Source organism: Homo sapiens, chromosome 2, assembly GCF_000001405.40.
Source record: "Homo sapiens chromosome 2, GRCh38.p14 Primary Assembly".
NCBI classification, from domain to species: Eukaryota; Metazoa; Chordata; class Mammalia; order Primates; family Hominidae; genus Homo; species Homo sapiens.
Genome location: NC_000002.12, coordinates 39,007,646 through 39,029,412, shown reverse-complemented (window position 1 = coordinate 39,029,412; position 21,767 = coordinate 39,007,646). Strand labels below are relative to the sequence as shown.

At 34.3% G+C, this 21,767-nt stretch overlaps 1 protein-coding gene across 10 annotated transcripts in view; it reads left to right on the top strand.

The window, feature by feature from the left end:
- Positions 1–21,767, top strand: part of SOS1 (SOS Ras/Rac guanine nucleotide exchange factor 1) — a 143,320-nt gene that overhangs the window by 95,456 nt on the left and 26,097 nt on the right. For 9 of the 10 annotated variants that reach the window (XM_047445581.1, NM_001382394.1, NM_001382395.1 and 6 more), the window contains 7 exons: positions 5,276–5,403; positions 6,188–6,843; positions 14,567–14,648; positions 15,424–15,546; positions 15,850–15,953; positions 17,065–17,287; positions 18,710–18,829. In XM_047445581.1, the coding sequence (XP_047301537.1) occupies positions 5,276–5,403; positions 6,188–6,843; positions 14,567–14,648; positions 15,424–15,546; positions 15,850–15,953; positions 17,065–17,287; positions 18,710–18,829 (1,436 nt within the window). Of the gene's footprint in view, positions 1–5,275; positions 5,404–6,187; positions 6,844–14,564; positions 14,649–15,423; positions 15,547–15,849; positions 15,954–17,064; positions 17,288–18,709; positions 18,830–21,767 lie in introns of those variants that run through there. The other variant, XM_047445586.1, reaches the window with a different exon arrangement.

Below are 21,767 nucleotides of genomic sequence, written 5' to 3'. Positions count from 1 at the left end.
CTCAAGTGATCTGCCCACCTCAGCCTCCCAAAATGCTGGGATTACAGGTGTGAGCCACTATACCTGGCCAATTTTTAATTTTAAATAAACTTGACTGCTGTGAGGTACATTTGTAGTTAGTGATGTTTTCTCTGATTAGAACAGAGAGGTGGTTTTAAAAGATATGTTTTCATAAATGACATATCGTAACATTTTTTAGGGTTGATTGCCTGTTTAATGTTTGGAATTGAAATTTCGTTTTAATTAAGAATTTCATCTTCTCCACCCATACCTTTTAGGTGTGCTGGTACCATAAAATAATAATTTATTTGAATGTCATGACCTTTCTTTCCCTCAGCTTTTAGTGGAATGTTTAAAATGATGTCATGGCAAACAGGAGCAAAAGCCTTGAATTACACAGCAGTTAGTTAATTAGTTCTGGAATAATTTGGATAATATTTCATACATTTGCTAAGAGGGCTAGTAAATCAAGTGTTACTCTTTGCATTTTCTATGTTGTAATCCACTGTGGTGTCTCATCAAACGGTATGCAAATAACATTCCAAAATCGAAATGTGAACCTAATCTTTGCTTGTGTTCTGTTACGTTGTGATGAGCTCTATGTATATAATATTTAAAATAAATGGAGATCTTTATTTTTATATCCCAAATGTTAGACAATTACAATGTATATTTCTTGGGTGTATACTTTGTCATTCTTGTGCATTGCAATTTACCTGTTCTATGGAATAGGTTTTATTTAGTGAATATTGAGGTTTTTCAAAGTCATTTCAGTTATTTGGGTACCTATTATAGTGAAAAGTCACGGGACTGAAAGTCAAGAATTGTGGATCTAGTACCTGCCTGTTAGTGCCTTCAAGTAAATGGTAGTTCCTTCGTTGTATACAATGCCATGTTGGAGGAAATTAATTCCAAGGAATAAAAACGAATTCAAGCATTCCTTTTTTTAATCAAAGGGAAGCCATTATATGATTGTGAGTGAATTGAGCATATAAAATGCACTGGGTACAACAATTTATTTTTTATGTATCAAACACTCTTGAGTTTTAGTCTCCTGAATACTGCTATATTCTTTATATTCATTGTAGCTTTTTCTTTTGACAGCTCCTTACATTTAATCCCATTTATCTCCCAGGGTTTCCTTTGCATATGGAACACACCATATTGACTATTGCCTCTTTACTTATTTCTAAGGGACCAAAAAAATTCGTCACTGGTAAAAGTGGTTTCTTTCTTGTGAAAAGTTAAATTTTATCATCTCAATAGAGCATATGAGTTTTCATTCTGCTTTAAAATATGATTCCTGGCTGGGCACAGTGGCTCATGCCTGTAATCCCAGTACTTTGGGAGGCCAAGGAGTTCGAGACCAGCCTGGCCAACATGGCAAAACCCTGTCTCTACTAAAAATACAAAAATTTTCTGGGTGTGGTAACACGCAGCTGTAATCCCAGCTACTCTGGAGGCTGAGGTAGGAGAATCGCTTGAACCTGGGAGGTGTGGAGGTTGCAGTGAGCTAAGATTGTGCCACTGCACTCCAGCCTGGGAGACAGAACAAGACTCCATCTCAAAAAAAAAAAAAAAATAATAATATGATTCCCTAGATGAGTTTAAGTACAATCTCATATGGTAATATAATCTCAGGATTTAGTACTTTTTTTAAAACTATTCAAATAAACTGCCTTTGTACAAATGTAATTGTTACTATTGCACATTATTATTAAATAGGCACTCATGAAAAGCATGGTATTGAATATCACTGGTAACAAGAGGATGCTGCTTTGTTGAGTCTCATTTACATACTAATTGCCACTGCTTTGTCTCTGTAGCCACAATAAGCCACCCTTTTGATGGTAGTTAGCTTGAATTATATTGCACCAGTGCCAAGTTTAAATTAGCTATGTTAAGTAAAAGAAGCAAAAAGTGGTAGAAGAAAGGTCATTTATTACACTGAAATTTATTTTAGAGGCTTGCCTAATGCTATAAAGGTAAAAATGACATTTTAAAAGTATTTCATCAGGAAAGTTTTATGGGTTTGAAATGTACTTTGGGTTTGTGGCTTTTAAAATATTAACATTTTTGAGATACCAGAATATTCTGTATGTAAAATGCTACAGTTAAATAGTAGATAAATGATTCCAAAACTTGAAACATTTTTAGGATAGAAAATCAAAGGATGTCCAAGTGGATTTTTTCTTTTATAAATATTTTTATGTGTATGAGAATTATATATTTTGTCTACCATTAGGTATGTTTTCCTGAATTAAAAATATAAAAAATGTATCCAGGACAAAATATCAAATGCTCAATATTCTGCTACCTGTTAGTTATTTAAGACCGAAAAATTGCCTTGTATCTTACTGACTTGAATTTCTCTGGGCTTTGCTTTTGAGTGATTAAATTCTCAATCAACTCAGTGAACTAATTCATCGTTCAGTGGTGCTTTCATTAAATTTGCCTTAAGGTATACAGCAAGCTTGTCTAACCCCCGGCCCAACACAAATTTGTAAACTTTCTTAAAACATTATGAGATTTTTTTGCAATTTTTAAAAAGCTCATCAGCTCTCGTTAGTGTTAGTATATTTTATGTGTGGCCCAAGATAATAATTCTTCCAGTTTGGCCCAGGGAAGCCAAAATATTGGATACCCCTGGTATATAGCTTTCAATGTTAGATTATCTGCTGCTTTAAAGACTAAACTTGATAATGTTTAATGGTAACATTTTATTTGTCTCCCAGAATTCTGCCATGTGAGAGGCAAATAGTTTCAAATGATAGGGATGGAAGGTACTTTGAGAGATTACCTGGATTCCAGCCTTCAGCCTACTAGTAATATCTGTTAAGTAAAAACCTAGTATCTTTCTTTATGAACCCTGGCCATTGGCTTTCTTTAATCTAGCTGGCCATATTGAAGAACAATATTATGAATAAAAGATATTTGATTTTTGTATTAATATGTACACTTTTAAAGTCTCTTATCCTTTGGAAAATATCTTTCGTTACCCTTTTTATGTTGAGAATTGTTAGGAATAAATTTTTCTGTTTTTTTTTTTTTTTTTTTTGAGACGGAGTCTCACTCTGTTGCCCAGGCTGGAGTGCAGTGGCACGATCACGGCTCACTGCAACCTCTGACCCCTGAGTTCAGGCGATTCTTCTGCCTCAGCCTCCCGAGTAGCTGGGACTACAGGCGTGTGCCACCACACCCAGCTAATTTTTGTATTTTTAGTAGAGACGGGGTTTTACCATATTGGCCAGGCTGGTCTCAAACTCCTGACCTCGTGATCCCCCCGCCTCAGCCTCCCAAAGTGCTGGGATTACAGGCATGAACCACCGTGCCCAGCCTAAATTTTTCTTTTACTTAACACAGTTAAGACTGAAAATTTTCCTAAAAATGTAGATTATGCCTCTAGTAGAAAGTATGGTGAGTTTTTAATAATGAATATAAGAAATCTGGATAATAAAAGCTAAGTATTAAACATTACAATATGGTATTCATTACTTCTAGAATATTTGACCATTAAAGTATTTTAAGTAAATTTTAATAAAAATGGTTTAGAATATAAGTAAGAAATCTGTTTACTTTTCACAGGTCATCAGTGCATGTGGTATGTGCATGCGCATGCATGTAACTGATTTTTATCAATTGAAGCAGAAAGGAATGTGTTGTTGACCTTTAAGGAATACCTGTGAAAAACACAAAATCCTTAAAGTACTAATGTACTAATGAATACTTAAGCTAATTGAAAAGTAAACTTCTAGCCAGGCATGGTGGCTTACGCCTGTAATCCCAGCACTTTGGGAGGCCGAAGCAGGCAGATCACTTGAGGTCAGGAGTTTGAGACCAGCCTGGCTAACATGGTGAAAACTTGTCTCTACTAGAAGTAAAAAAAAAAAAAAAAATCAGTCAGGTGTGGTGACAGACACCCGTAATCGCAGCTACTCGGGAGGCTGAGGCAGGAGAACTACTTGAAGCTGGGAGGCAGAGGTTGCAGTGAGCTGAGATTGCACCGCTGCACCCTAGCCTGGGGTACAGAGCAAGACTCCATCTAAAAAAAAAAAAGAAAAATAAACTTCTTTATAAATCACTTTGAATATTTCATGATTGTGTATCTCAAGTCTTTTCATTCATGGTAGAGAGTAGGTATTCCTAAATTGTTGGATGAAAACTCTATTGATAAAATGTTATTTTATTTTATTTTAATAGACGGTATCTCAAACTCGTAGGCTTAAGCGATCCTCCCACCTGGGCCTCCCAAAGTGCTGAGATTATAGGCATAGGCCATTGCAGCCAGCCAATATGTGATTTCTTAACTTTTCCTTTTGGTAACCAGGAACAGGTTTAAGATGTATGAGTGAATTATTGTGACTCATACATCTGTTAAGTGCTTGCTTGAATCATAGCCACCTTACTGTATTGACAATTAGTTACTGATGACTTAGTTCTTGTTAAGTAGAGACGTTCTGTCTGACACAGATATTTGCCAGTAATAGAAAATATGCTTGAGTTTCAGTTTCATAAATATGTATATTATAGCTTCACTCAAAATCTTAATGTGGATATGGACAAAGTTCTTTATTATACTAATGTTAATTCTGTAGTATAATTACAAAGAAAACCATTTACACTTACATTGTGTGTTACCATTTACAAAGTGCTTTGGTTTTTAATAACAACCCCTAAAAGTAGGCAGGGTAGGCTTTTTATAAGCCTTATTTGGCAAATGGGAAAAGTAAGACTCAGAGATCAAGTGACTTGCCCCAAGGTCACACAGAAGTAGAGTCAAAATTTGATCCTAGATTTTGTAATTGAGATTCCTTCTACTATATTGCATCGTTCTCTGTATATTTATCTTCCTTATCATCTCAATATTATATAACAATAATATAGGGGTCAGAAACCTAAGACCAAATTCCACACTTAAAAAAAAAAAAACCTCGTCTACATGCTTAGTGGTATGCTAACTCTATGATAATTCAGTAGATCGATTATGCTCCCCATTTCTTTTCAGTGGTATGCACCTTGAAAAACTACATATTACTGCCTGTCACAAGATATAACCCATCTTAACACTGCTAATCTTGGTCTTTTAATGTAGAAAACTTGGTTGTGTATTAATAGTAACACACAAGAAAAACACTTTTAAAAAGAATATTTGATGACACATTTAAAATTTTTATTGTGACAGTTGAATAAATGTTATTTTTATCCTTAAATGAGTTTATTATTATTTTATCCAAAAATGTACTACTGGTTCAGATTTGTCATTTTGGCTTTACAGCAGTTAGAAGAAAAAAGTGAAGATCAAGAAGACAAGGAATGTTTAAAACAAGCAATAACAGCTTTGCTTAATGTTCAGAGTGGTATGGAAAAAATATGTTCTAAAAGTCTTGCAAAACGAAGACTGAGGTGAATATTTTTACTTTTTAAAATATCCTTTTTTCCCTGAATATTGTGGTGTAAATTCAGGGATCCCAGTTCCCTCCTCAAGTAAACAATGAAGAAAATAGTTTTAGTGACAAGCCTGGTCTTTTAGAGGAAGTGACATCAAAGCCAAGAGAATTGTTATTGTTTGAAAAACCTTTCATATTTGTGCATTTTCCTTGCATACTCCCAGACAAGACCTCCTGAGAGTCAACTGGTAAGCTGAAGGAGAGACAGAGTAAAATGTATCGGGTAGATTTATGTTGGCATCGTTATTCTGTCAAAGTAAAATTATTAGTGTCCTTTATTTTAGGGATTATATAACTTGAGGCATTAATTCAGATAACATTGCTTCCACTTTCCTGATTATAATATGTGCTACATGTTTTTAGCTTTGGGTCTTGTCCATTTAAACTCTTCTAAATAATTTATTTTAATCTTTCAGATTACTTTTTTTTACTGTATTGGGCTACTTTTTATTAGTTGTCATTCTAAATATTTAGTAGCCAAGATAGAAATAATCATTTTGTAGTTACATTTAAGGAGAATTTTGTCAGCAATCATTGTGCTTTTTAGAACACTGAAAAAAATTTCTAGGTTGCTTTAATTTTCAAAATTGTGTAATTTTGTAATTCTAATCTATTTGGGGAATTAGTGAATACCTTCTCAGTGAGACTTGTAAAAATCTACTTTTACACTTTCCCTTACTTACATGAGCTCTAGGTTTTCTGTCATCTATGTACTAATAATGTCTTTTTCTTTATTCCAGTGAATCTGCATGTCGGTTTTATAGTCAGCAAATGAAGGGGAAACAACTAGCAATCAAGAAGATGAACGAGATTCAGAAGAATATTGATGGTTGGGAGGGAAAAGACATTGGACAGTGTTGTAATGAATTTATAATGGAAGGAACTCTTACACGTGTAGGAGCCAAACATGAGAGACACATATTTCTCTTTGATGGCTTAATGATTTGCTGTAAATCAAATCATGGGCAGCCAAGACTTCCTGGTGCTAGCAATGCAGAATATCGTCTTAAAGAAAAGTTTTTTATGCGAAAGGTACAAATTAATGATAAAGATGACACCAATGAATACAAGCATGCTTTTGAAATAATTTTAAAAGATGAAAATAGTGTTATATTTTCTGCCAAGTCAGCTGAAGAGAAAAACAATTGGATGGCAGCATTGATATCTTTACAGTACCGGAGTACACTGGAAAGGATGCTTGATGTAACAATGCTACAGGAAGAGAAAGAGGAGCAGATGAGGCTGCCTAGTGCTGATGTTTATAGATTTGCAGAGCCTGACTCTGAAGAGAATATTATATTTGAAGAGAACATGCAGCCCAAGGCTGGAATTCCAATTATCAAAGCAGGAACTGTTATTAAACTTATAGAGAGGCTTACGTACCATATGTACGCAGGTAAGAATTATGCAGTTGCCTGTCACTTTTGTTTTCCTGCTTCAAACTGATTTTCTTTCCTGCATGGGTTTATTGTGCCTAAAATAGAAAAGAAACTAACAACCAAAGACCTCTTTTCTTTGACTAAAAATACCCCACTTTATATTTCTTTGGAATGTTTTACTTTTTCTACTACACTTAAATACTTTTTTTTAACCTTACCATCAGTTATAGATGAGAAAATGAGGTCACTTGGCTAAATTTATCCAGTTAGAAAGTGACAGAAACAAGACTAAAGTTAGTAGTAAATCATCATTATTGGGATCTAAAAAGTTTTTTACTCCTTTATCTTTTTTTTCTTTCTTCTTTTTCCATTTCTGAGATTATAAATAAAAATTTTAATATAACAAAATTGTGCTGGTAGTACAAATATACACGGCATTGCTTTCTCTCAGTTTCCACTCCTAAACCTGATTATTTAATAATAAATGTTGCAATCCTGGAAGCCAAGGATTCCAGTTTTATTATAATTTTTCACCTAGAAATGTCTATAGTCAGTGTATTTATTTTACTGACCCAAAAATTTAAAAAATCATAGGAAATGTAAATAGGCTGCCTAGATTTTACATGAAAAACAAATAGGTTATTGTCATTTTTTTCCATATAAAGCTGTTTTTTGAGAGGTACAATTTTTCGGTAGTATGACCTGCCGATTTAGTTGTGCTTCACCAACCTTTTCTATGTTCTTTATGATCTAGACTACAACTATAAAAATGTTTTTTATTCAGTTACCCAAAATTTGTGATTGCAAAATACTTCTTTTCTGCTTAAGAGATTTTTAAGGCTATAAAAGTTCAAATTGCCCTTCTTGCCACATTTTCCTGGTTTTTAAGTCCCCTTAGAGGACTCATAGAATTTTTATAACATGAGCATTCTAAACTTTATCATTTCATCCTAAGTACTTTTGTTTGGGGTTCCTAGACTCATTTGGAGTAAAATTAATCTTTAGATTTTTCTCTGTGTTTGTAAGAAAGAAGTTTTAATTTTTTTTTTTTTTTTTTTTTTCCTGTAGAGCATTGTAAGAAGACTTACTACTAGTGTTTACTGTCACAAGTCAGTGATACTTGGGCAGGAAAACATTTTCAAATTACAAAATTTTTAATTGTTTCTGTAAGACTTGATTGAGTGATAGAAGTTTTCTCTAAATTGCTATATTTCACAAAGTTAATTTATGATTATTAATAAGCAGCTGAAGAATGGTTACAACTATTGTCTGGGGAACTGTCCCTTTTATTTATTTTTTTAAATGAGGACACTTTAAAGCAAAATTAACTGGAACAAGCTGATACTTGTTTTGTAGTCCTGAAAGTCTTCTTTCCTTAATGTGTACAATGTTAGGTAAAGTCCGTGGACATGGTACTTTTGTAATGATGTTTTATTAGTTATTTCTGTCTGATACTTCTTTTCTATATCAATTTTTAGCTTTGGTATAGAGTAATATTTTGAGTGCTTTTACTTATAATGAATATAAAACACTTAAATTTCAAGATTTATAGAACTTTGCCAAAGTTAAGTGTATTGAAAATTTAAGTTGATGAGATTATTTTACTTAAAAAAAATGTTTTTAAAAAATTCCTTCCAATAATTTTTTGAGAAATAAAAGGCCAGTGTTGTGGCTAAGTTTTTTGATATTTTTCTTTTCTGTCTTCTTTTGAAGCTTAACTGAATATTTTAATTTATGTCATAAATATATTACTGGTGAAACTGGAGTCTACAAGCAGCTTTCGTGAGTTGTGGTTTACAGTACACACACATTAGTGTTAACTGTTAGCTTATTTGGGCTATTCTGTAAGGTCTGTTACTGAAGTTATTACTGGCAACATAGAATGGTTTTTAATAGACCATCTGTGAACTTGTAAAACTGAAATGGACTTTTAAGGCCTCACTACAATGGTAACAGATCAAGTTACCATTTGTTTTTAAGAACTACTGGTCTGCTCTTCTCCTCTCATCTTTCTTCAGCCTCCCCAAAGAGAAAAGGGATTTGTGATTTGGTTAGTAGGTATGTTTATTGGAGAACATGCAGTACAGGTTGTGGCTTACACTGAAACAAAGCTAACATTTAACTTACACATTTTTATTTTATTATATAGAATTGTAATAAAAGACATTGGATATAATACATGAGAAAATTTAATGAATACTATAAGACACGACTTACAGACATCTTTTAGATTATTATAGTTTGGTTAGACATTGTCATAAAAACAGAAGAGAAACTGGTTTAACCTTACTTTATTCAGACTTCACTGTGGTGTCAGCCAACTTTATCCCTCAAATATTTTAACAGTAATGTACAAAATGGAGCTATAGATCTCTAATGCTAGAAGAGATGCCCAAGCCTTCACTTTGTAGACAAATCCCAAGGCCCCTGAAGATTATATGATTTCCCAGAAGTTCTATTACGAGTTAATTCCAGAACAAGTCAAGAATTAGGTTTCTTGACTCTAAATAGAGTATATTTTCTACCATGTTACATTGACTCATATAAGGTGATTGTTTTCATGAATAGAATATGTTGTAATTTTTTAATTATATGTGTTAATAATTAAGTAAAAGGATCTGGTACAGATGTGAGCTCAAAAAAAATAAATAAATTACTTCCTTGGTTTGAACTGCCAATAATATAAATGGCTTGTTCATTTCTGGGCAAACGTGCGTACTATGAAGATATTGTCAGTAATTTTTTTTTCTTGAAATAGGATATAGGTAAGCTCTGACTATAGATACACTTCCATTGGAATGCATAGATTTTTTATGTATAGATACTGGTCATTATTATTATTTTTATTTTTTTACAAAACCCAATTATTAGTCTATTGATGTAGTTTGCTCACTAAAGGGAAAGCTTTGTGGAAAGAAAAATTTAAATTTAGGTGAATTAGAAAGTGGTTAACTTGCTTAAAAGATTGCAACAGGGTCTTAGGTGGAATCTAATTTATAGCTTGTCTCTCAGATTCGGTGTTTCTGGATGTATCATAATTTGCTGACTATATCAGAACTTTGGGGTTTGTCCCAAAAACTAGGGGAAAAATTATCCAATTGGATGGATCATTCTAAATCTGGCAATGGTATGAAGAGACTATTTCCTTATCCTAAGTAAGAAAGCACAAAGCAATATGCACAAATAAAAAGTTGAGAGTAGGAATTTCACGTCTGTTACAGAGTTGTTGTAGGCAACAAAGTACAAGTTAATGAGACCTAAAACAACACGAGTAGATAAATGGTAGGTGGTGCTGTGTCCAGTTTGGTAGTCTATTTTAGAAAAATGAGATGACCCTGAAGTAAGGATAATAATTCAGAATTGACATTTTATGGGAAATAAAAGCTTTGCATATTGAAGTGAGGGAAAAGGTGTTTCCCTTGCCTGGGAATTTCTCTTTTCCAGAAGATGGTATTGAAAAAACTTAAGCCAGAAGATCGTTTTCTTTAAAGTATTTACTGCTATTTTATACCTTCATAGGGAAAAGCCTCAAAAACCTGAATTAGATTTATTTTGAGTTTGTGTCCTATATAAGCTCAGTTTCGGTGTTTTAACTTATTTAAATCTTTTGAACAATTTTTCATCTATAGGGCAGCGCTGTTCTATTTTTATACTCTCTGATTTTTTAAAAAAGTGTTTGTGCGTCAGCATAGCGTCTGTTTCCTTTTTTAAGGAATTCAAGACTGATTGTTTATAAATCCTTGTTGAGGAGCTTATTGTTTCTTGTAGCTTTTTAAATGGCTGCATTAAAGGGAGAATTATCACATGAACAGACATCCTGATTATAACAGTGTTTTACTGTGGTGGTTGGGGGTGGGGTGGTCTTTACATAAATAACTTTTTTATGTAATAAATACAAATTTCATTGACCTTGTCAAATAAAATGTCATGTCAATCAAAATAGGCACATAAGGAAAAAGGATTGGATTATCACTTCCAATCTATATTCTGAACACTAATGTAGGTATACTCTGAGTTCCTAAAATTTTGAAGTATTGTGCAGTAAAATATCAAATAATGGTTTTATAGTGAGGAAAACAGAGACAGAAGGTCAGCAGAAAAAAATAACTACAGCTTCTGTTTGAAATAACCTGGTTATTTCTGTTTGAAAATAACCTAGCTGTTTTGATTGGGGGAAGCAGAGCAACTAGTGAACATGGTGGAAACCTTAGCGTAGGGATTTGAGAGTCAAGTAGCAAAGTAATGTTATCTCTAATGATGAGGGGGAAAAACTGTAGAAAAAGTTTTGGTTGTTGACCATATTGAAATTCATCAGGAGATCATGTTTGAGAAAGAATTTTGTGGAATTATCTCCACAAGTAAGTGATAAACAGAAAGGAGAATATAAAAATGGGCTATTTTTAATTTTTTTCTAGGATTATATGTTTTTGCTTATGTTATAAAGCCAAACCCAGACTGGCTTTTGTATTTTTATGTGTTTACCTTTCATCTCTCTCTGCAACATGGTTTTAGAATATGGGTAGATAACTGCTGCTCCACAACTAACAACGGCAGTATAAAACTTAGCTTTTACCATTGCCTAATCAATGGAACTAGGTATTCTGTTTTCTTACAGAATTATATAACCTGTCCTTATTGATGGGCATTTGTTTATATTATCTTAGCTCTTTACATCATCAGTAAGATAAACGTCTCCAGTGGTTAGCGACATGGTGTGTGTTACAGTCATTGAAATGGAGAAACCAATCCAATAGAAATAAAAATAATGTCTGGAATTTTTATGCTTTTCTGTGTAAAATTTCAAATATAAGTACTTTGTCGTCTTAGTATGTTTTTCATTCATTAGCAATTTTTCATTGCTTTAGACTAAAAACAGAATATAAATTAATACAAGCCTGGGACTATATGCAGCCTTTAAGATATTTTTTGAAAGTACTTAAATTTTTGCCAGATTTTCTTGGTTTGTTTTTAGTTTCTGCTGCTTTTGTCTTTTTGGCAAGACTACTCTTAATTCCAGTCAAGCTAAAAACAACTCTAGAACCTAATACAACAGTCATGATTATGGGAGTGTTTATTTCACTGCCAGCTGCAGAAACCCTGTACAGCATACAGGAAGGTACAGCTGTTAATTCCTAAAATCTAGAATAAGGCTGATCAAGAGTTACAGAATCACAATTAGACTGCTAATTTTTCAGTGACTTTCTGGTGCCTTTAACCAAGATTAGCAGTACAGGTACATTCTGAGTTAATCATTCATGTAAATTTCTATAGTGGTTATATAACTCAAGGTTTAATTCTTTATATTTAGATCTCACAGCTGTGGAAACTTTAAGGGTTTCTTTAATCCAGGGAGGTTATACGATATGATAGAAAAGAGCACTAAATCAGGAATCACATGATCTAGGTTCTGGGTCCATCTCTGCCACTCTACAGTATGACCTTAGATAAGTCTAGTTACATCTCTTCCAGCCCTGCTCACCTCACATAAATCATATGAAATAAGTTATGTCAAAGTTCTTTGAGAATGTTACATAATAGACCAAGAATTGGTGTGATCCCATTTGACTGTGGCACTGAGACACATCATGGCTTTCCCAGCATTATAATCAATTACTAAAGAACTGAAATGGCCAGAAGTTTTGGCTTAAGAAGATGAAAAGTCTGTTTAGAAATAGCTTGCCTTTAAACATAGCCACAGTTTTCTTAAAACATACTTTAAGTCACTTAGAACTTGGCTTTTATTCTGTTTTTCAACTTAAAATTCCTCTTGATGTCCCTCAACTTTTTAGCCTGATTTTCATGGCATTTGAGAAAATATGGAGGTGAGTGTTGATTTTAGATTTTTAGACTGAAATAAACTTTTCCTTTAAAAAGGGAGAGGGCACCCTAAATTTGGAACACAGGTCAAGGATGCTTGGAGTACTCTGTACTGCGGGTATGGGCTCTCTCCAGCAGTGACAACTCAGCATCTCTCTAGTGGCCACTGCTTTTGCTTCCTAAACATGCTGTTTTGAGTAGCCTCACCTTACAAATAGATTTGCAGAACAGGAAGAAGATTCTTGAAAGGGAAGATTGTGATGAAACCGATAAAAATCTCTGTATTAAAATCTTGTACAGCCTTCTGTTTTAATATCTTTTCTTCTGGATGAGACATTAGTCTTTAACTTTTGAGGAACTCTGTAACTGAAGACAAACAATAAAATACCAACAGAGAGGAAATTATTAAAGGATTATATGTATTTAAATTACTTTTATCAGTAACCCACTCTAGCCTCAGAAGGTATAAAGCTAACGGAGAAGGGGACATTTAAAACCAATGTATTTTTATTCTGTAAATCTTTAACTTAAAATAGTATTTTGAATTCAAGGTTGTCTGATATTTAAATCAGTTATTATCTCGATGACCACATATCAATAGATTGGAAGTATATTTCTGTTTTGTGATAAATCCATGAATTTGCTTTTTGGGGAAAAAGCTATTATAAACATGTTATTTTAAGGCTAAACCTAGGATGGGTCTTAGTGAGAATCAGCCTAAATGAAAATTTTCCAAACAAATACATTCTGCTTTTGCTAAATCCTATGCTAATAAAAGACATTGTGCTTCTTATAAAACTTTGACCCACATTATGTAGCCTAACAGAAATAAAGGCATCTGCTACCCTCTATGAATTTACTATTGGAGTCTACCAGTCCCTAATACAAATAGGAAAAGAATGCTCCCAATAAAAGACTCAAGTTACTGAACTTTCCCCTCCTTAAAAAAAAAAAAAAAAAAAAAAAAGATTTACAATTAAATGTGGGCCTTGATAAAATTTGAGTTATAGAAGTGAGTGATTTCTCCCCCCTATTATGGGAGATGTCTTTCCCCCTCTTTATGCAGAAGACAACAGCCCAAGTCTCTTGTGCTGGTGAGAGCAGCCTTTCTCCACAACTTAGGATAATACTGTTAAGGAGAGACGGGAGTAGGTCAGGCCTAGGGGAGTGATCACACTCAGCCTCTTGTTTTACTTCATGGAGATGTGAATGAAAAGTAGGTCCTTTCATGGAAGGGATTGGAGACTCCTATATTTATGATTGACCTCTCATTGTGACTACTTGAAATAAAGGCAATTAAAGGTTGGAATAGGACCAAACCAACATATTCTATCACATTTAATAGTTTTAATAGCTTATAAGTATTTGTAAGCATCTTTAAGTAGTTGTGAGATTTTTAGCAAATAATTTAAAAACTGTATTTAACTTTAGCTACTACTTTATAAGTTCCAATTTCCAGTTGCATGCTCTGTTAACATGATTTAAAGAAAGCTAGATAAGTCATCCTAGATAAACTCATCTTGATGTAAGGAAAAGTAATGGGTTATTGCTGTGGCCTTTCTCTTTATAAGGGGGATAAACCAACTGGTGATACTTTGAGATCCTGGTAGCAGGTGGGAGGGGAGCCTGGTTCCCTGCTTTACCTTTGCTTTTCTTTCTTGCTCATTCCTGTGGCCGATGAGTTTAAGATCATCTTGTCAGTGTGCAGAGGGCAAGAAATAAGTTGATGTAAAGTTTTAATATCACCACTAATTTAGGAGGCACTAAGCTAGCAGTGCATTACCAAGTCCAAAGCCTTCTACTTGGCAAAACATTTTGGAACTTTTAAACTTGACTATTTGATCTATTTTGAAAATGTACATAACAGTTTTAATCATTTTGAATCATAGAGTTTAATAAGATATTTTTCCTTTTTCTTCTTAGATCCCAATTTTGTTCGGACATTTCTTACAACATACAGATCCTTTTGCAAACCTCAAGAACTACTGAGTCTTATAATAGAAAGGTCTGTCCATTTAAAAAATATTTAAATTCATTATTTTTTGTTAAAAAAGAGATTGAGCTAAGATCCTTTTCAGAAATGTTAGATGAGCTTTAAAATATACTTCACAAGCACTTTTTCAATAAATAAAATCTCTTAGATGAACATTTATTTTATAATAATGTTAGCTTTTATTATTTCAATACAAAAATATTCTTTTTTGTATGTGAAAACTCAGTATTTGAAATTTCAAATTTACAGAACTAAAGACCTATATAAAATTTATAGAGTCAAGAAATTCAAATTCTGATGAGTTAGATGTTCTAAGTAAGTTTTCAAACATACTTCATGTTGAGTAAAATGGAACTTGTCAGTGAACAAATACTGTGATGGAAGGAAAATATTTCATGTACCCAAACAAAGAGCAGTCAGTTTTTCTGGAATTACCCTTAACAGTGATTATGTCACCTGATTTAGAGTAATTCCACAGACCAAAAATGAATATCAGTCCCGTAACTTTATAGTCACATTTATTTTTAGAATTTGCATGTATTCTTTATTTTGTTTGTAGTTAGTTTTATCTATATTGGCAAGTACTAATTTCTTTTAAAAATTTTAAAATAATTTTATTAGCCTTTAATACTATAGGAGTCTCACTTGTTTACACTGATATGCATATCTTCAGTAATTTTTTACAGTATTCTCTTGATTTTGCTGACTGGTGAAAACGTTTGTGGTTTTCTATTTGTATAACTCGATATAATTAGTCTTTTCATTAATTTGTTCTATTTTATGTTAGGTTTGAAATTCCAGAGCCTGAGCCAACAGAAGCTGATCGCATAGCTATAGAGAATGGAGATCAACCCTTGAGTGCAGAACTGAAAAGATTTAGAAAAGAATATATACAGCCTGTGCAACTGCGGTAAGCATTAAATAAATGAAGTAAATAAGTCTTTATCAAACTTTCGTTTCAATGTTGAAGTATATAAGGACCTTTCCCAAACAAGGAGAGGGGTGACAATAAAATTAGTAAATTAAATTTACTAATTAGAGCAGTTATCAGAAATTATAGTATAAGCCTTAACATAGAATTTTGGAAGTGTTAAGCACACTGATAAGATTAATTTGGTAAGAGTTACTGCATTTTCATTTGTATTGTACTGTGCATTGTGATAAACATTTATGTTTGATTCCCATGTAATTCAATTCTGTGTTAATGCCATAGAGTATTAAATGTATGTCGGCACTGGGTAGAGCACCACTTCTATGATTTTGAAAGAGATGCATATCTTTTGCAACGAATGGAAGAATTTATTGGAACAGTAAGAGGTATGTTTTTTTTTTTAGGTGCCTAGTTTTATATGTAATAAAAGTACCAACACGGTGACTATCAATTGATGTCATTGGGGCTCAGTAATGTAAGATGTTTATAATAGTACCAGCATAACCATTTCAAAAAGTTAAAAATTTTCATCAAATAGCATTTAGACCTGCAAATGGCTCAAGTCACCCTGTTGATCCAATGTATTTTCATTTAGTGACTCAACTTACTGATTATTTTAGAGTTGATTAAGCCAAGTCTTCATATATATCCCAAAGTATGAGGGCATTTGGGAATTACGTTGTGCCATTATAACACCACTGATGGAGGTCGAGTGGGCCACAGGCAAATAGAATCAGAGAGGAAGCAGAGTGGATTAAATTGAGACTCTATGTCTAACACTGCCACTAATCAGATACGTGACTTTGGGCAAAATCACTTAGATTCTTTAGACTTCAGTTTTCTTATCAATAACATAAGGAGCTAGGTTTGTCGATCTCTAAGGTTTTCCTTCTAGTTTTAAAGATTACGTGAGTGTATGGCTCTAAGGATATCTTAGACAAACTTATTTTTATTTCCTTTGTATGCTCTAAATGATAATCAGAAAATAGTTAAATAATAGTACTTTCATGTACAATATAAAACAGAGCCACATCAAAACTCACACTAAGGAATCAGTCCTCTGGCACTGATATTTATTGGTTTATAAAATGCAGTGTTAATTAGATGAATATTGTGTATAATCTATCCTTATAAATCTTGTGATTTACATAAGATATACCTTTTCTTGGAGGATTATAAAATAATACATTAAACTGAAGATCAGAACAATGGGATGGACAGTCTCTACAAATTAAGTACTTTCTAATTTTATTTGGAAAGGATCTGGAAGAATACATACCAGGCTATTAACAGTGGTTACCCAAATGAAGAAGAATAAGATTAGGATTGGGGACCGGGAAATGGAAAAGGAGAACTTGCATTTTTCATTTTGATCATTTGAACTTTTTATAGCAAAGATACATTCAGGTGTCATCCGTGTGACTTTAAACCATTTTTAAAATATAAAATATTAAATAAAGAATATTTAAATGTTATTTAAAATATAATGTATTGCAGGTAAAGCAATGAAAAAATGGGTTGAATCCATCACTAAAATAATCCAAAGGAAAAAAATTGCAAGAGACAATGGACCAGGTCATAATATTACATTTCAGAGTTCACCTCCCACAGTTGAGTGGCATATAAGCAGACCTGGGCACATAGAGACTTTTGACCTGCTCACCTTACACCCAATAGAAATTGCTCGACAACTCACTTTACTTGAATCAGATCTATACCGGTATGTAATTTAACATTCAAGTTGAAAAGTCATTTCAAAAGAGTTAACTTTTAAAATGAAATACTGATTTCTGCCTTATAGGGTTTTCATAAGACTTAACTGAAATATTACATGAAGTGTCTAGTAATAAGGCCAGGCAGGCAGTTCCTGTTCTTTTACTCCCCTGGTCCCTCTAGCTGAATTTACACCTTCTGTCTTTCTGTGTTCACCCCTAGTTGGTAAGGCTAGGTTCAAATCCTGGCTTTACCAATTGCTGGCCCTGGGCAACTTTAACCTCCTTGTGTGACTTTATCCTTCTGCCCCTTATTTTCCTCAAGAGTAAAATGGGGCTACTGATAGTACCTACTCCTGGGGCTGTTTTGAGGTTTGCAAGTCAATATATGTACATTACCTAGCACAAAGTAAGGGCTCAATAAATGTTAGCTACTGCTTTATTGTGAACTTACAGCCATTATAGTCTTTTTTAATCATACTACATTGATGTAATTATCTCAAAAATGTCCTTCTGATTTTAAATGGAGACTACTTAGAATCTTAAATTATTCACTTTTTAATAACTAAATGAGAAAATGAGATAAATTTATAGATCTCCCACTGAAAATCGTATTTCTGAAAATTACAGTGTTAGAATCTATTTTATTTCCTAGGACCCTTTTGTGGTAGGTTTTTTTCCTCTCCTCCTTTAGACCAAAAGAAAAAAAAAAGATGTGTGAATGCATTGATTACTGTACCCTCTTTGAACTGATTATAACAGATATCATTACTTAAATGTCTACTTTGTCACCCTAATTTATTAATAATGTTTATAAGTGCTGGGAAAGATATTATGGAGGAGTCTCAACCTTGCCCAAAGCAAAATGCTACTATAAAGGAACGCTAAAAGTACACAGGTATTTCCATAAAAATAGTTTTTAAAAACAGTTTTTAAAGGCTGGGCATTGTGGCTCACTCCTGTAATCCCAGCATTTTGGGAGGCCAAGGCGGGTGGATCATCCGAGGTCAGGAGTTCGAGACCAGCCTGGCCAACATGGTGAAACCTTGTCTCTACTAAAAACACAAAAAATTAGCCAGGCATGATGACGGGCGCCTGTAATCCCAGCTACCCAAGAGGCTCAGGCAGGAGAATCACTTGAACCTGGGAGGCGGAGGTTGCAGTGAGCCAAGATCATGCCATTGTACTCCAGCCTGCACAACAAGAGTGGAACTCCATCTCAAAAAAAAAAAAAAAAGTTTAAAAAAAATCCATAAGGAAATATGCATAATTACACTTTTTTGTTATACCTTGTTTTCACAGACCTTTCTGTTGGTATAAGAGGAAAGTTCATATGAGAGTTTAGTTTTTATTTGTCTCCTTTACTTAATAAAACAATGTCTATATTAGAGAAAAAAGTGTCATGTAGAATTATGTATTGATGATTTTAGAGCTGTACAGCCATCAGAATTAGTTGGAAGTGTGTGGACAAAAGAAGACAAAGAAATTAACTCTCCTAATCTTCTGAAAATGATTCGACATACCACCAACCTCACTCTGTGGTTTGAGAAGTAAGTATTCCTAGCATTCTTATATTTTATAGCTGTCAGCTATGTTATGAATTTCAATGCAATTTTTTTGTTTGTTTTTTTTGAGACGGAGTTTTGCTCTGTCACATAGGCTGGAGTGCAGTGGCACATCGGCCCACTGAAACCTCCACCTCCCAGGCTCAAGCGATCCTCCCACCTCAGCCTCCAGAGTAACCAGGATTACAAGTGTGTGATATCACACTCACCTAATTTTAATTTTCTTTCTTTCTTTTTCTTTTTTTTTTTTTTTGAGACAGAGTCTGGCTCTGTTGCCCAGGCTGGAGTGCAGTGGTGTGATCTCAGCTCACTGCAACCTCCACCTTCCGGGTTCAAGCAATTCTCAGGCCTCAGCCTCCTGAGTAGCTGCAACTACAGACGCACACCACCACACCCAGCTAATTTTAGTATTTTTAGTAGAGATGGGGTTTCATCACATTGGCCAGGCTGGTCTTGAACTCCTGACCTCAAGTGATCCACCCCTCTTGGCCTCCCAAAGTGCTGGGATTACAGGCGTGAGCCATCGCTCCTGACCAATGCAATTTTATTTCTATATGTCTCATGTCTTTTTCCTCTATTCCTCCTTTCTTTTGCATTGAGTGTTGATGAAAATGATAATATTTGTCATTAGAAAATATTGAATGTTTTTCTAATGTAGCATTAATTTTTTTCATTAACTTTTTTTGAGGTCCTTTTAGTGGTTGCCTGGTTGCCTTACAGTTTACCCTACACATCTTATCAGAATCAGCTTCAGACTTATAGTAGCTTAATACCAGTGACATATGAAATATTACTCCTATGTAGCTCTATTCCCTTTCTCCCTTTTTTTTGTGGTACTGTAATACATATTACATCTTATTAATGATGCAAATCAAACAATACATTGTTAACAGTTATTACTTTACCATTTGTCATCATCCTCTTAGCCCATTAAAGCTTTGCTCTCACCCACCTTCTTTGTGTATTATTGGCAACATATTACAAATATATTACATTTCTATGTCAATAAATTCAACAATGTTTATATTATTTTATACAGTTGTTTAAGTCAGTTATGAGAAGAAATGAGAAAAAAATACGCATTTACAAAATGTCTTTAATAATTACACAATTACCTTTACTGATGGTCTTTGTGTGGATTCGAATTACCATCTGGGATCACTTGCTTTTCAGCCTGAAGAACTTCCTTTAGTATTTCTTCTGGAGGGTGGGCTAGCAACAAATTCTCTCAGTTTTTGTTTATCTGGGAAAATCTTTATTTTACCTTCGTTTTTGAACAATGGCTCTATCTTCAAGTTAATATTTTTTTTTTCAGTTCAAATATACTATTGAGCTTATCCAGTAAGTTTTTTATTTCAGTTATTGTACTTTTTAATTCCAGAATTTCCCTTTGGTTCCTTTTTATAGTTTCTATCTCTTTAATGATATCCTCTCTTCGATGCACATTGTCATCAATACCTTCCTTTCCTTCTTTTTCATGCTTTCCTTTAATTCCGTGACCGTATTCATAATGGCTACTTAGAAATCTTTTTTGTTACTGTTGTTAAATCTGACATTTGGTTGCTCTCACAGGCAGTTTCTGTTCCTTCCACCCCCTCCGCCCCACCCCCACCCCTTGTAAGAGTCATACTTTCCTATTGGTTTGCATACCTCATCTGTTTTTGCTGGAAACCTGACATTTCAGATAATATAGTGTAGCAACTCTGAGTACTGCTCCTCCTTCCCCAGCCCCCTTTCCAGGGCTTCTTATTGCATGGCAGTGGTACTGGAAAGACTCATCCACTCCTTACCTGACCACACACACCCAGCTATGAAACTCCACAATTTGCCAGCTGATTGCTCTGATGTTTTCAACAATTTTCTGGTGGCATAAATGCTATACAAAATAATGCAATCAAATTGTGGCTCCTTTGAAGGAATGGTTTCTGAGATTTCTGTTTGATACTTGTTCTGACCCCAGGAGGGCTCCTCTCAGCCGTCTTATTTCCTAGTTGTCTCCTGCAAACTACTCTGCCTACAGTCTAGGGTGTATCTTCATTAGATCCACAAATCTCTTCCCCATTGCCTTTCACCACAATTTCCACTGTTCCTAAGGGCACCATTAAATTTAAACTACTTTATACTTTGTTGCAAATGACAAGAAATTAGGAGCTATCTGTTTGAAACAGGGCTCTGGGGCTGGGCAACAATGGCAAGCTTTTCTCTGAGTGACACTTCTGCCCTAGGAGCTAAGTGCTTGGTTGAGCAGGTAGAGTGGCAGACGGATGCTACTGCAGCCTGAGGTCTTCTTACCCGCCTCTTCTGGCATGGAACCACGCCCTCAGGAACCAGAGGAAGGGCTCTTTTCTCAGTATGCTCAAAACATCACACCCAAGGTAGCGTCTCCATTCCATAAGTGGAAGTTGGGCAAAAAAGGGTATTCCTACTTCTCAGCTGCACTCAACTGGGACTTGGCCTCAGCAACAGGCAGCAGGGACAGGATGAGAAAACTGAAGTCCTGCTCCTGCACCTCACCGGGAGCTAGGTGTTCTTGACTGCAGGAATCTGGAGTAGATGCTCAGTTCACCCTCACTGAGCTGGGAGAAAGAAGGGAGGGACCAGTCTTGGTTCAAATACCACAGACTCTCTCCCCTCTCTTACCAAATTTTTGTAGATTTTCCTGAATAGATGTTTCTTTTGCCATTTGCTCTCAGGGCCATTACTAGAGACTTTAAATGTGTGTGTGTGCGTGTGCATGTGTGTGTTTGTGTGTATGTGTGTTTTAATAATTTTTACCAGTTTCACTCAGTGAAGCTCCTCATACTATCATACCACAAGTCCAGAATCTCAATGCAATTATATATTAGGTTGGTGCAAAAGTAATTGCAGTTTTTGCCATTACATTTAATGCTGTTCGTAGAAATGTAGGAAACATAGGAACAGA